Source organism: Homo sapiens, chromosome 4, assembly GCF_000001405.40.
Source record: "Homo sapiens chromosome 4, GRCh38.p14 Primary Assembly".
Classification (NCBI taxonomy): Eukaryota; Metazoa; Chordata; class Mammalia; order Primates; family Hominidae; genus Homo; species Homo sapiens.
This window is the reverse complement of record NC_000004.12, coordinates 100,462,733-100,476,047: the sequence shown is the minus strand read 5'-3', so window position 1 is coordinate 100,476,047 and position 13,315 is coordinate 100,462,733. Positions and strand designations below refer to the sequence as shown.

Sequence of the window (13,315 nt, the reverse complement as noted above, 5' to 3'; positions counted from 1 at the left end):
TGAAACAACATTGACTAAATGCCTAGTGTATGCCAGGAATAATTCTTGATACTAAGATTAAAAATGTGACTAGAGGCTGGGCACAGTGGCTCACGCCTGTAATCCCAGCATTTTGGGAGGCCGAGGTGGGAGGATCATGAGATCGAGACCATCCTCGCTAACACGGTGAAACCCCGTCTCTACCAACAAAAAATACAAAAAAATTAGCCGGGCGTGGTGGCGGGCGCCTGTAGTCCCATCTACTCGGGAGGCTGAGGCAGGAGAATGGCGTGAACCCAGGAGGCAGAGCTTGCAGTGAGCCGAGATCGCGCCACTGCACTCCAGCCTGGGCGACAGAGCGAGATTCTGTCTCCAAAAAAAAAAAAAAAAAAAAAAAAAAAAAAAAAAAGGACTAGAATTGGATACTGCCCTCAAGAGCAAAGAGCAAAGAAGGGCACACAAATTAATAGGGAAGTTTTCAAGTTCCTTCATGATGTATGTTCATTTAGAAGTTTCACTGCCATAACTACATCAATAAAATGAAATGTAATTCTAGAAAAAAAAAAGGCATGATACTCCTAAGTCCTATTGACCATGTCACTTTTCTCACAGGGAAAAATAAAATGATTTTAAACATTAGAATTTAGAATTTTGTAACAATTTTTTGCATGTTTAAAGATACCTAAGTAACAATCTTCAGTGGAAACTTGTTTTGGGGACTTATTATGAAAAATGTGTGTGTGTGTGTGTGTGTGTGTGTGTGTGTAGGCCACCCAAATATTTAATATACATATATTTAATATACATATATTCTTTAGACAAAACGAACTGGAAAATGGGAAAAATTAAAGATAGACAAAGGAGAATGCCAGTCCACCTATAGATTTAACTTACTTTATTTATTGACAGATAACATGAGATTATGATTAATAATAATTTAATCTATTTTATCAAACTAGGAACAATCACCAATGAATTACTTAAAATGTCTCTGATGTCAACAGCTACTTTTTTAACAAGTAAAGATGAAGGTGAGTAATGATTCATTTTTCTACAATTTTAAAAAATATATAATTCACATAACATAATAGTCACCCTTTTAAAGTGTACAATTCAGAAGTTTTTAGTATTTTAACAAGATTTTACAGCCACCACCACTATTAATTTCAGCACATTTTAATCTCCCCAAGAGGAAAACCTGTATTAATTACCAATCACTTCCCATATCCCCCTCCCAGCTTCTGGTAACCACTAACCTCCTTTATAGATTTGCCTGTTCTGGACATTTCATATAAATGGAATCATACAATATATGACCTTTTGTGTCTGGATTCTCTCACTTAGCATAAAGTTTTCAAGTTCATCCATGTTGTAACATGTATCTGTAGTTCATTCTTTTTTATTACTAAATAATATTGCATTGTATGGATATACCACATTTTGTTTATCCGTTTATTAATTGATGAACATCTGCATTGTTTCTACTTGCTAATGATTATAAATAATGCTGCTATGAACATTTATGTGCAAGTTTTTGTCTGCCTACGTTTTTCATTTCTCTTAAGTATATGTCTTGAGGCCGAATTGCTAAGTCACAGGTTAACTCTATGTTTAACATTTTAAGGAACTGATTTCCAAAGCAGCTGTACTATATTACATTTCCACCAGCAACATACAAGAGTTCCAATATCTCTATATTCTAGCTAACACTTGTCTGTCTTAATTATAATTATCTCAGTGGGTGTGAACTGGTATCTCATTGTGACTCTGAGTTATATTTCTCTAATGATTAATGATGTTGAACATATTTCATGTGTTTGGTAGCCATTTGTGTATTGTCCTTGGAAAAATGTCCGCTCAAATTCTTTGTCTATCTTTTTAAAAATTTGGCTATTTGTCCTCTTATTGTCGAGTTGCAAGAGTTCTGTATACATTCAAGACTAGAAGTTTACAAGATAGATAATTTGCAAATATTTTTCCCATTCTATAGGTTATCTTTTAATTTTGTTGATAGTATCTTTTGAAGCCTGAAGATTCAGAAAGCTGCAGTGGACCCGACCACCAAACAGTGACCATGACCTTTATTTGGTGCAAGTTTGGCTTTGGGAAGTGCTTTGGAGCTTTTTCTCACTCCAACCACTGAGCTAGTTGTTGCCAGTTGTCACTTTTTGTCGCACATCACAATCAGATCAAGAAATGGTTTGTCGTGTAGAATAAGAGAAGATGACACTTCAAAACGAGGATTTTTTAATTTTCGCTCAGCTCATGAGGCACCCACTTAGCGAGATTTTCCCAGCTTTCCAATTTGCTTCAAATGCTAAAGGGCTGTAGAATCGTCAAGGTTTGAGTTCTTTGGCAACTTCTCATGTAGTTGTTAGAGAAACAGCTTCAATGATTGCTCTCAAATGGTCATTGTGGACTTCCGATGTCTGGCCACTATGCTCCTCATCTACAAGGATCTCTTTTCCTTTGCAAAACTTCTTGAACTTCTTGAATGCACTGTATGTTCGTTAGCAATTCCTGAGACAAATGCTTTGTTTATATCGTGAGTTGTCTGCGCTTCTTTTACGACCCATTTTGAACTCAAATAAGAAAATCGCTTGGATTTGTTTTTGTCTAACATCATTTCCATAGTCTAAAATAAACATAAACAGCAAGTGATGTCATTAGCAAAAAAAAAAACAAAAAAAAAAAACAAAAAAACACGAAACGGGAAATGCCCATTAGAATTATATATAACATGGACGGGTGCAGTGGCTCACACCTGTAATCCCAACACTTTGGGAGGCCGAGAAGTGTGGATCACTTGAGGTCAGGAGTTCAAGACCAGCCTAACCAACATGGTGAAACCCTGAGTATGTGTATGTCTCTACTAAAAATACAAAAATTTACTGGGCGTGGTGGCACGCATCTGTAATCCCAGCTACCCGGGAGGCTGAGGCAGGAGAATCGCTTGGATCCAGGAGGTGGAGGTTGCAGTGAGCCGAGATTGGGCCACTGCATTCCAGCCTGGGCGACAGAATAAACTCCACCTCAAAAAAAAAAAATATATATATATAATATATATATATACTTCTAGAATATATATATTTCTAGAATATATATATAGAAGTTTATTTTATGATAGGGATATCTATCTATCTATCTATAAAACATAACCACATTTATTTAAGAATGTATGCCAGTATCAAATGGTACATTCCAACAATGCAAAAGCTGCAACTACATTTGCATCCACCTAATATGAGTTTTTTCTGGACTCCCGAATCTACTCCACTTATACCTATATGCCTATTGTTATGTCAGAATCATATACTCTTGATTACTATTACTTCGTATTAAGTTTTGAAAACAGGAAATGTGAGTCCTCCAACTTTTTCTTTTTTATCCAAGATTGTTTTGGCTATTCAACTTTATCACGCCAATTTTATCACACTAATTTTAATGTGAATTTTGAGATCAACTTGTCAATTTCTGCAAAGCCAGCTAGGATTGTGATAGGGATTGCATTAAATCTGTAGATCAATTTGAGGAGTATTGCCATCTTAACAATCAGGGCTTTCAATTCATGAGCATAGGATGTCTTTCCGTTTATCAATGTCTTCTTCAATTTATTTTGATGATGTTTGTAGTTTCCAAGTGTGGAAGGCTTAAACTTATTTTTGTAAAATTTATTCCTAATATTTTATTCACTTTTAATAAAATTATTTTGTAATAAAATAATTTTTTATTTCAATTTTGGATTATTCATTGCTACTATATAGAAATATAATTTATTTTTATATGTTAGTATTATATCCTTCCACTCTATTGAACTAACTTATTAACTGTAATTTGTGTGTGTGTATATGTGAATGTGTATTCCTTAGAATTTTCTATGTTCAAGATTATGTTATCTGCAAATATAGATAGTTTTACTTCCTTCTTTCCAGTGTGGATGACTTTCTTTTATTTATAATTTTATTTTATTTATTTTATTGCTTAACTACCCTGGCTAGCACCTTCAATACAAGGTTGAGTAGAAGTTGTGGGAGGGGACATCCTTGTCTTGTTTCTAACTCTCAGGAAAAACTGTCAGTTTTTCACCAGTAAGTATGATGTTAATTATGAGTTTTTAATAAATGACCTTTATCAGAATGAGGAAGTTCTCTTTTATTACTAGTTCGTTGAGTGTGTTTATTATGCAAGGGTATTGGATTTTTAAAAATGCCTTGTCTTATTATATTGAGATTATCATGTTTTTAAAAAATTCCTTATTTTGTTAATGTGGCATATGATATTGATTTCTATATGTTGAGTCAACCTTGAATTCCTAGGCTAAATCCAACTTGGTCATGGGGTATAATTCTTTTTACATGGTGTTAAACTTTATTTATATTATTTTGTTAAGAATTTTTATGTCTATATTCATGAAATATATGTTTGTAGTTTTCTTGTGATGTATTTGTCTAGTTTTGAAATCAAAATAATACTAGCCTCATAGAATAAGTTGGGAAGTGTTCCCTTCTCTACTAATTTTTGAAAGAGTTTATGAGGATTGGTGGTAATTGCTCTTTAAATATTTGGTAGAATTTTCCAGGGAAGACCCTGGTGCTGAGCTTTCTTTATGAAATTTTTTTAAAATACTAACAATTTCTTTACTTATTATAAATCTATTAGATTTTCTATTTCTTCTTGCCTCAGTTTTTGTAGTTAGTGATTTCCTAGGAATTTGCCCATTTAATCTAGATTATCTAATTTGTCGGCATATAGTTGTTCACAGCATTGCCTTATAATCCTTCTAATTTCTGTAAGGTTGGTAATAATGAATCCTCTTTCATTCATAATTTTGATAACTTGACTCCTCTCTCTTATTTCTTTATCAGCATAGCCAAAAGTGTCTCAATTTTATATATCTTTTCAAAGAACAAACTTTTGTGTTTTTTTTCTGTGTTGTGTTTCTATTCTCTATTTTATTTCATTCTTCTCGAATCCTTAGTGTTTCTTTCCCACGGCTTCGTATGGGTTTAGTTTGCTCTTCTTTTTCTAGTTTCTCAAATTGGCCAGTGAGGATTTTGATTGAGATTATTCTTCTTGTTAATATGTGTTAACACCTATAAATTTCCTTCTTTCCATTGCTTTCTCTGCATTCCGTAAATTTTGGTATATTATGTTTTCATATTCATTTACTGCAAAGTATTTTCTAATATTTTTTATGATTTATTCCTTGACCCCTCTATGTGTTCATGTGTTCTCATCATTTAGCTCCCACTTATAAGTGAGAACATGCAATATTTTATTTTCTTTTCCTGTGTTAATTTGTTAAGGATAATGTCCTCCAGCTTCATCCATATTCCTGCAGAGGACATGATCTCATTCTTTTTTATAGCTGCATGGTATTTCATGGTGTATATGTACCATATATTGTTTATCCAATTTGTCATTGATGGGTCATTTAGGTTGATTGCATGCCTTTACTCTTCTGAATAGTGCTGCAACGAACATATGTGTGCTTCATAATAGAATGGTTTCTATTCATTTGGTTATATACCAAGTAATGGGATTGTTAGGTTGAGTGGTATTTCTGTTTTTAGGTCTTAAAGAAATTGCCATACTGTCTTCCACAATGTTTGAACTAATTTACACTCCCACCAACAATGTATAAGCCTTCCTTTTTCTCCACAACCTCACTGGCACCTGTTTTTTTTTTTAACATTTTAGTAATAGCCATTCTAACTGGTGTGAGAGGGTATCTCATTGTGGTTTTGATTTGCATGTCTCTAATAATCACTGATGTTGAACTTTTTTTATATGATTGTTGGCTACATGTATGTCTTCTTTTTAAAAGTGTCTGTTCATGTCCTTTGCCCATGTTATTGGGCATGGGGTTGTTTTTTCTTGTAAATTTAAATTCCTTATAGATGCGGAATATTAGACTTTTGTTGGATGCAGAGTATGCAAAAATTTCCCCCATTCTGTAGGTTATCTGTTTATTCTTTTGATAGTTTCTTTTGCTATGCAGAAGCTTTTTAGTTTAATTCAATCCCATTTGTCAATTTTTGCTTTTGTTGCAATTATTTCTGGTGTCTTCATCATGAAAACTTTGCCCATGCTTATGTCCTAAATGGTATTGTCTATTAAACTAACATTGAAAATCTTCACAGAACTGGAAAAAAACTATTTAAAAATTCATATGGAACCAAAAAAGAACCCAAATAGCCAAAGAAATCCTAGGCAATAAGAACAAAGCTAGAGGCATTATGTTACCTCACTTCAAACTATACTACTGGGCTACAGTAACCATAGACAAATGGAACAGAATAGAGAACCCAGAAATAAGGCCACATACCTACACTATCTAATCTTCAACAAAGCTGCCAAAAACAAACAATGGAGAAAGGACTCCCTGTTCAATAAATGAAGCTGGAATAATTGGCTAGCCATATGCAGAAGATTAAAACTGTACCCCTTCTTTACACCATATTCAAAAATTAACTCGATAGATTAAAGACTTAAATTAAATAATTATTTTATAAACTTTGACTATTAACTCCTTATCAGATATATAATTTACAAATTATTTTTCTCAATTTGTAAGCTGCTTTTTCATTTTGCTAATTGTTTCCTTTGCTGTGCACTAGGTTTTTAGTTTGATGTAGTCCCATTTATTTACTTTTGCTTTTGTAGCTGAGCTTTTGATGTAATATCCAAAAATAATTGCTGAGGCCATACCCTGAGCTTTTGATGTAATATCCAGAAATAATTGCTGAGGCCAATGTGAAGGAGATTTGCCCCTATCTTCTCTTCTGGAGGTTTATGATTTCAGATATTACATTTAGGTCTTTTATCCATTTAGAGTTGATTTTTGTGTGTTGTGTCAAATAAGGGTGCAATTTCATTCTTTTGCATGTGGTAGCACAGTTTCCCCAGTGCAATGTATTGAAGAGACTATCCTTTCTTTATAGTAACCTCTTGGTGCCCTTGTTGAAAATTAATTGACCATATATGTTTAGATTTATATCTGGACTCTTTATTTTCTTCCACTGGTCTATGTGTCTGTTTTCATGCCAGTATTATACTGTTTGGATTACTGTAGCTTTGTGATATAATTTTAAATAATTAGGAAGTGTGATGCCTCTACTTTTATTTTTCTTTCTCAAGATTGTTTTGCTATTCAGGATCTTTTGTGTTTCCATACAATTTTTTTTTCTATTTCTGTAAACAATAACATGTGAATTTTGATAGGGATTTTTAAAAATCTATATATTGATTTGGGTAATATGGACATTTTAATATTAATTATTTTAATCCATGAACATAGGATATCTTTTCATTTATTTGTGAATTCTTCAGTTTTTTTATTAATGTTTTATAGTTTTCAGTGTGCAGCTCTTTCATTTCCTTGATTAAATTTAATCCTAAATATTTTAAGAGCATCTTTTATTCATGTAAAACCAAATATACCACAGTACTAGTAGTCTACAGCATGTATTTTAGTAAATGCTAACCTTGTCAAAAGTCTCTTACCTTTTATTCTATTTCTTAAGACAAAGTGGTCAGACATTTTTCCTATGGGCATCAGATAAAACAATGCTGTAATTCAAATTATGTAATTCCAAAGGAATAAAGCTGCCAATCTCCCTCCCTATAAAATTAAAATCCATGACCACAAACCATCTCTTCATGTTAATTGGTAACTACACATTAGATTCCTAATATAGTTAATGTCCTGATTTATTGTTTTCCTCAATAAACTTAATTCCTCAAAATATACAAAATAAATTACACGTTAACAATTCCAAGATCATTATAAAACAGACCCTCTCCCACATTTCTCTCAGCCCTATGCAGTGGTTTTCACCTAAGGACATGCTTGGAATCAAGGTTTCTTTTCTCCATTTACAATCTGGTACTGATACGACTCCCTCAAGCATCTCTTGTGTTAAATTCTTATTTTTTCCAACTCAAATATGGATAAATTCATTATGTTTTGTCTTTAATGTGTCCCACCTATACCAAAAGCTACGATTTAAACATACATGAATCTTAAAAACACAAGTCATAAATGTAAAGCCAATGTATCTTGATGCAATTCTCTTATAAATTAATATTTCTCCAGAAAAATTATGTTTGTGAAACCTAATGCATGCACTATTGCCTAGGATTATAGTGCAATTCATAACTGTAGATGACAGCAGGTACATATTGTTTTGTAGGGGAAAGTAGAAAGTATTTAGATTTAAAGACCAGCTTTAAGATTGATTTACTTTTTCTCTGAAGGTGTGAATTACTCATTGGCAGTAGTTTGGAATAAACTATGTGTTAACTATAAATACAACTGGAAAAATTTTCTCAAAAAGATGTTAATATGACTATGATTCTCATATCTTTTTTTTTTTTTTTTTTTTGAGACGGAGTCTCACTCTTTCGCCCAAGCTGGACTGCAGTGGCGCTATCCCGGCTCACTGCAAGCTCCGCCTCTTGGGTTCATGCCATTCTCCTGCCTCAGCCTCCCGAGTAGCTGGGACTACAGGCGCCCACCACCACGCCCGGCTAATTTTTTTTTTGTATTTTTAGTAGAGACGGGGTTTCACCGTGTTAGCCAGGATGGTCTCGATCTCCTGACCTCGTGATCCGCCCGCCTCGGCCTCCCAAAGTGCTGGGATTACAGGCGTGAGCCACCGCGCCCGGCCGATTCTCATATCTTAATAAATGTTAGTCAACCATGCATAGATTCTTCTCTCCTGAGACTAGGATTTGAAGCATTTCTGTATATTAGTAAAGTTTAAAAATTTGTGGCTGTGGCAGCATCTTTTATTCTATTCAGTTTGAGTTTACCATGAATATTTTAAAACATTTTGATTTATCTTAAACATTCAAGATTTGCTCCAAGGCCTACTTCATGTAGTATAATTGACAACCTGTCCTACATTGAGTGTAGGCTCTAATTCTCATTTGTGAAGTATATTCCACATTTATAATAGGCAATTCTCTAAGCAAAATCTTTGGCATTGCATTCCCAGCTATTCCATTATTTTTCTCCTTTCTTTGCATATTTCCAATCTGGCAGCCCTCCACATCTTTCTTAGCTATATATACTCTTTCCCTCCACCAAGACTGTTGAGTCTGCTTGATACTAGGGAACTCTTTAGGCCTTCAGGATAGCTTTTTCATGCTTTCCAATTTTAGCTCAGCTGAAGAATTTTTCTCCAAAAATTTCTGAAGAGAAACTCCTGTTCTGATCTTTCCCCAACATATGTTGGAATTCCAGTGGGAAGCAAAATCTTTACCCCCAGGAGTTCCTCCATCCTCAAATGTTGAGTTTCTGCACCTTGGGTGACCTGTCCCACTTCCATGCTAACACGAATACCAACTTCTGCTTTCTTGCTGTAATAAGGCATTATCTCTACTTCACATATTTTCCTCCCAATTTAACACTTCATGATACCTCTGAAATGTGTGGCTATTTCCAGTCATTCTCTCTCATATGCAGGATTAACACTGTAGACTACATTTGAATTTGTTTCATTTTGTTTGCACACTAATTCCCAAAGGCTTTTTACCTGAAGGAAAATGTATTTATCTACTGTCTATGAAGTCTTCTTGCAAATGATCCCTTTCTTCAGCATGACTTCCTCAACTGCACTAAGAATTTGTATTACACAGTAGATGCTTGTTGACATAGAATGGAAGTTGACTGCACTTCTAGAAAACACCAGCAATTCTTGCTCCATTCTACTCTGTGTTAGAGATCTACTAAACTGCTTTCCCCTCATCTCCAGCTAGCATCACATCCAGCTAACACCAAGCATGCAGTAAATGGCATGTCTGCATTTTCTTCACTGGCCCAATGTTTCCACATTAGACTGAAAAAACTGAAGGGCATCGATTTTTTTTCAGAATATATGGGCAAATATAAGTTGTTTCAAGTCATCTTATTCCAATGTTATCTTTGAAAAGCTCAGCCTATATTTTTGTTGTAAATTTTTTTTTCAAAGAAAAATGAACTAAGTATAATTAAAAGTGTATTCCATTTATGTCCAATTATCCCTCATCCCCTGACTATTCCACCTGCTTGAAAATATTTTCCCAAGTGGCATGAGAACAATAGTGCCATACTTAATTACTACCACATCCTTACCTTTCTTTTCCCAGGGCAGCTGAGTGATTAACTTTTGCATCAGAAAGGCTTGAATTCAGGTCATTGTTCTCTCCTATTATAAGTTATGTGACCGTGGGGAAATTATTTAATTCCTCTGAGTCTTATATATAAAATCATCATCATCATGATTACTTAATTCGTAAGATTACCATGACAATCAAGTGAGATAACCTACAGCATGTACACAAGAAAGTTAATGTCCCTCCACATTCTTTAAAGTAATTAATTATATCACCAAAAGGTGAATGTTAAAATGCTGGATTTCTAAGGCTTAGTCAGAAGACTTCTAGAAATTAATCTTCAAGTTTTAGTTGGATATTAATATGAATATTAATAAGATGATCTGGTGATTTGTTATACTCCTGATGACTGTTCATTCTTTTTATAGGATTGAAAGCCACAACCACTGATGTCAGGAAGAATGACTCCATCATTTCAAACGTAACAGTAACAAGTGTTACACTTCCAAATGCTGTTTCAACATTACAAAGTTCCAAACCCAAGAGTAAGTATGAGGATTTGTGCTGAAGTGTTAAACTAGTGTGTTGCATAAAACTAGTTTCAGAATGTTTTCCAGCATACAACTGCCAAGGAATTATGCTCTGCTTAAATTGTCTCTTAATCTCTACCCAATAGAACAATCATTTGGCAGCCTCATCTTTTACAGTGATACCCTATCCCACTGCAGCCACAAAGGAATGGGTCACAAGGAAGATTAATGCAAGACTGGGCAGTAATCTATGATATTACCTGGCACTAAAAGGAGAGCTCAGCCAAAAAATTAGACAACTTAGATGAAATGAAAAAATTGTTAGAAAGAAATAAATTGCTAAAACTGACTCAAGAAGATATGGAAATCTGAAAAAACCTATAATGATTAAAGAAATTGAAATAGGAACTAAAAATATTCCTATGAAGAAAACCCCAAGCCATGATGGCTTCAATTGTCAATTCTATAAAGCATTTCAGAAATAAATCATACCAACTCTTCCCAAACTCTTTTAGAAAGTAAAGGAGGGGAAAACACTGCACAAATAATTATCAGAGGCTAATGTTACCCTGACACCAAAGCAAGAAAAGAATGAAAAGAAAAAGCAAGTAAAGAAAACTATAGACCAATATGGCTCTTAGACATAGATGCAAATATCCTCGATAAAATATTGCAAAAAAATCAGTAACAAGTAAAAAGGAATATAAAATATGAACAAGTCAGATTTATCCCAGAAATGCAAGATTAGTTTAACATATGAAAACCAAAGAAAGTAATACAACATATTAGTAAAATCAGTACATGTAGAAGGAGCATTCGACAAAATCTAACATTCACTCATATTAAAAACTCTCAATAAACTAGAAATGTAATGAAATTTCCTCAACTTGATAAAGGGCATATACAAAAAGCCTACAGCTAACATCATACCTAATAATGAAAGACTTAATGTTTTCCCCTTAAGATCTGGAACATACCAAAGATGTCTGTTCTTATCAGTTTTATTCAACATTATAGCCAGAGGTTTTAGATAGTACAATTCAACAATGGATAATACATAGATACATTTAGATTGAAAAGGAAGAAATAAAGCATTTTTTATTAGAAGACTACATAATTATCTACGTAGAAAATTCCAAGGATTCACTATAAAACTAAAACCACTAAAGAGCGGTTTGTAGCACAGGATATAAAATATATTAAAATAAATTATATTTTTATATGTTAACAGTGGTGATCCAAAATAAAATTAAGAAAATAATTCCATCTTCAATAGCATCAAAAAGTATAAAATATGTAGAAATAAATTTAACAATAGAAGTGCAAGATTTATACACTAAACTATAAACTATTTTGGTGAGAAATTAAATATCTAAAGATACATTACATGTTTATAGATTAGAAACCTCAATATTTTAAATGATAATTCTCTCCAAGTTGATCAATAATTGATTAATATATTTAATGCAATCCCTACCAGAATCCCAGTTCTTTTAAAGAAATTGATAAGATGACCCTAGATTTGTACGGAAATAAAAAGGACCTGGAATAGTCAAAACACTTTTGAAAAAGAACAAAGTTAGAGGACACAACCCAATTTCAAAACTTATTCTAAAGCTATTGTAATGAAGTATGAACCTCAAAAACATTATACTCAATGAAAGAAGCCATACACAAAACATGACATGTGGTATGATTCCACTTACAGTAAATATGCAGAAAAGACAGTTTATAGGGACAGAAAGCAGGTAAGTGGTTGCCTGCAGCTGGAGATGGGAGTGGGGATTGACTCTAAATAAGCTCACAGGAGTTTTTCATTTGATGGAGCTGTTCTAAAACTAGATTATGTTATGATGATGGTTGCACAACTCTACAAATTTACTAAAAATTATTACTTGTATTCTTAAAATGAGTGCATTTAATGGTGTGTAAATCATATTTTTTATAAAGCTTTGTTGAAAAACAGAAGGAAAGAAAATGATGAGCTTAGCCAATCAAATTTTCTTTCTGAGTAGTTTGAACTAGAAAACCCAACAAACAAACAGCAGAGTTAGCTACGGGAATTGAAGGTGCGAAGTTTAGTAGTGGGAGTCTGCGGTAGTCATGGCAATTCATGTGCATACCTATGGCATCCAGAAGCAGTTATTATGAGTAAACAAATTGACAGAAAAGAATGGAGAGTATATTGGGAGATAGGAATACCCTGTGAGCAAAATTAAAATGTTTGTGCGAGGCAGAGAGACAAGTAGAAGCTAGAACTCCCATAATTTCTGACAGCTTTCCAGTTCCAGTTTTCTCACAACAGGTACTTCTCACATTCTGGACTCCATGATATAAGTAATTTCTATGTATAGTAAACACACTTGACTGGAAGAGTTAGGAATATAAGTAATGGAAGCATTTTTGGTGTATCCATAGTCCTTACTAAGAAATGGCTACAGATGACTCATAATGTCTAAGTCTTTTCTTGGGAAATCTCTAAGGTAGAAAGAGATGACAAGTAGAAATTGTGGCTATCCAAGACCTACTCTTGTCTAGAAACTTCAGAAACATAAATTGTCTCTTTTTTATTGTAATCATCTCAAGCACAACATACAGAAGTTTGCCTAGAAGGAGTCTAATTTCACACCATAATTGTAAACTACTACTTCTTTTTAATGGGACAGTCACCCCGTAGAGGAATTTGAAGAGCAGAATCATCTCTT

At 33.6% G+C, this 13,315-nt stretch overlaps 1 protein-coding gene and 1 long non-coding RNA gene across 5 annotated transcripts in view; one reads left to right on the top strand and one right to left on the bottom strand.

Moving 5' to 3' along the window:
- EMCN (endomucin) overlaps positions 1-13,315 on the top strand; it is a 122,682-nt gene that overhangs the window by 41,975 nt on the left and 67,392 nt on the right. For all 4 annotated transcript variants that reach the window (NM_001159694.2, NM_016242.4, XM_011532024.4 and 1 more), the window contains exons 3-4: positions 939-1,010; positions 10,509-10,625. In NM_001159694.2, coding sequence (NP_001153166.1) covers positions 939-1,010; positions 10,509-10,625 — 189 coding nt within the window. The remainder of the gene's footprint in view (positions 1-938; positions 1,011-10,508; positions 10,626-13,315) is intronic.
- Positions 1-13,315, bottom strand: part of LOC124900740 (uncharacterized) — an 89,972-nt gene that overhangs the window by 35,295 nt on the left and 41,362 nt on the right. The gene's annotated exons all lie outside the window — the stretch shown is intronic.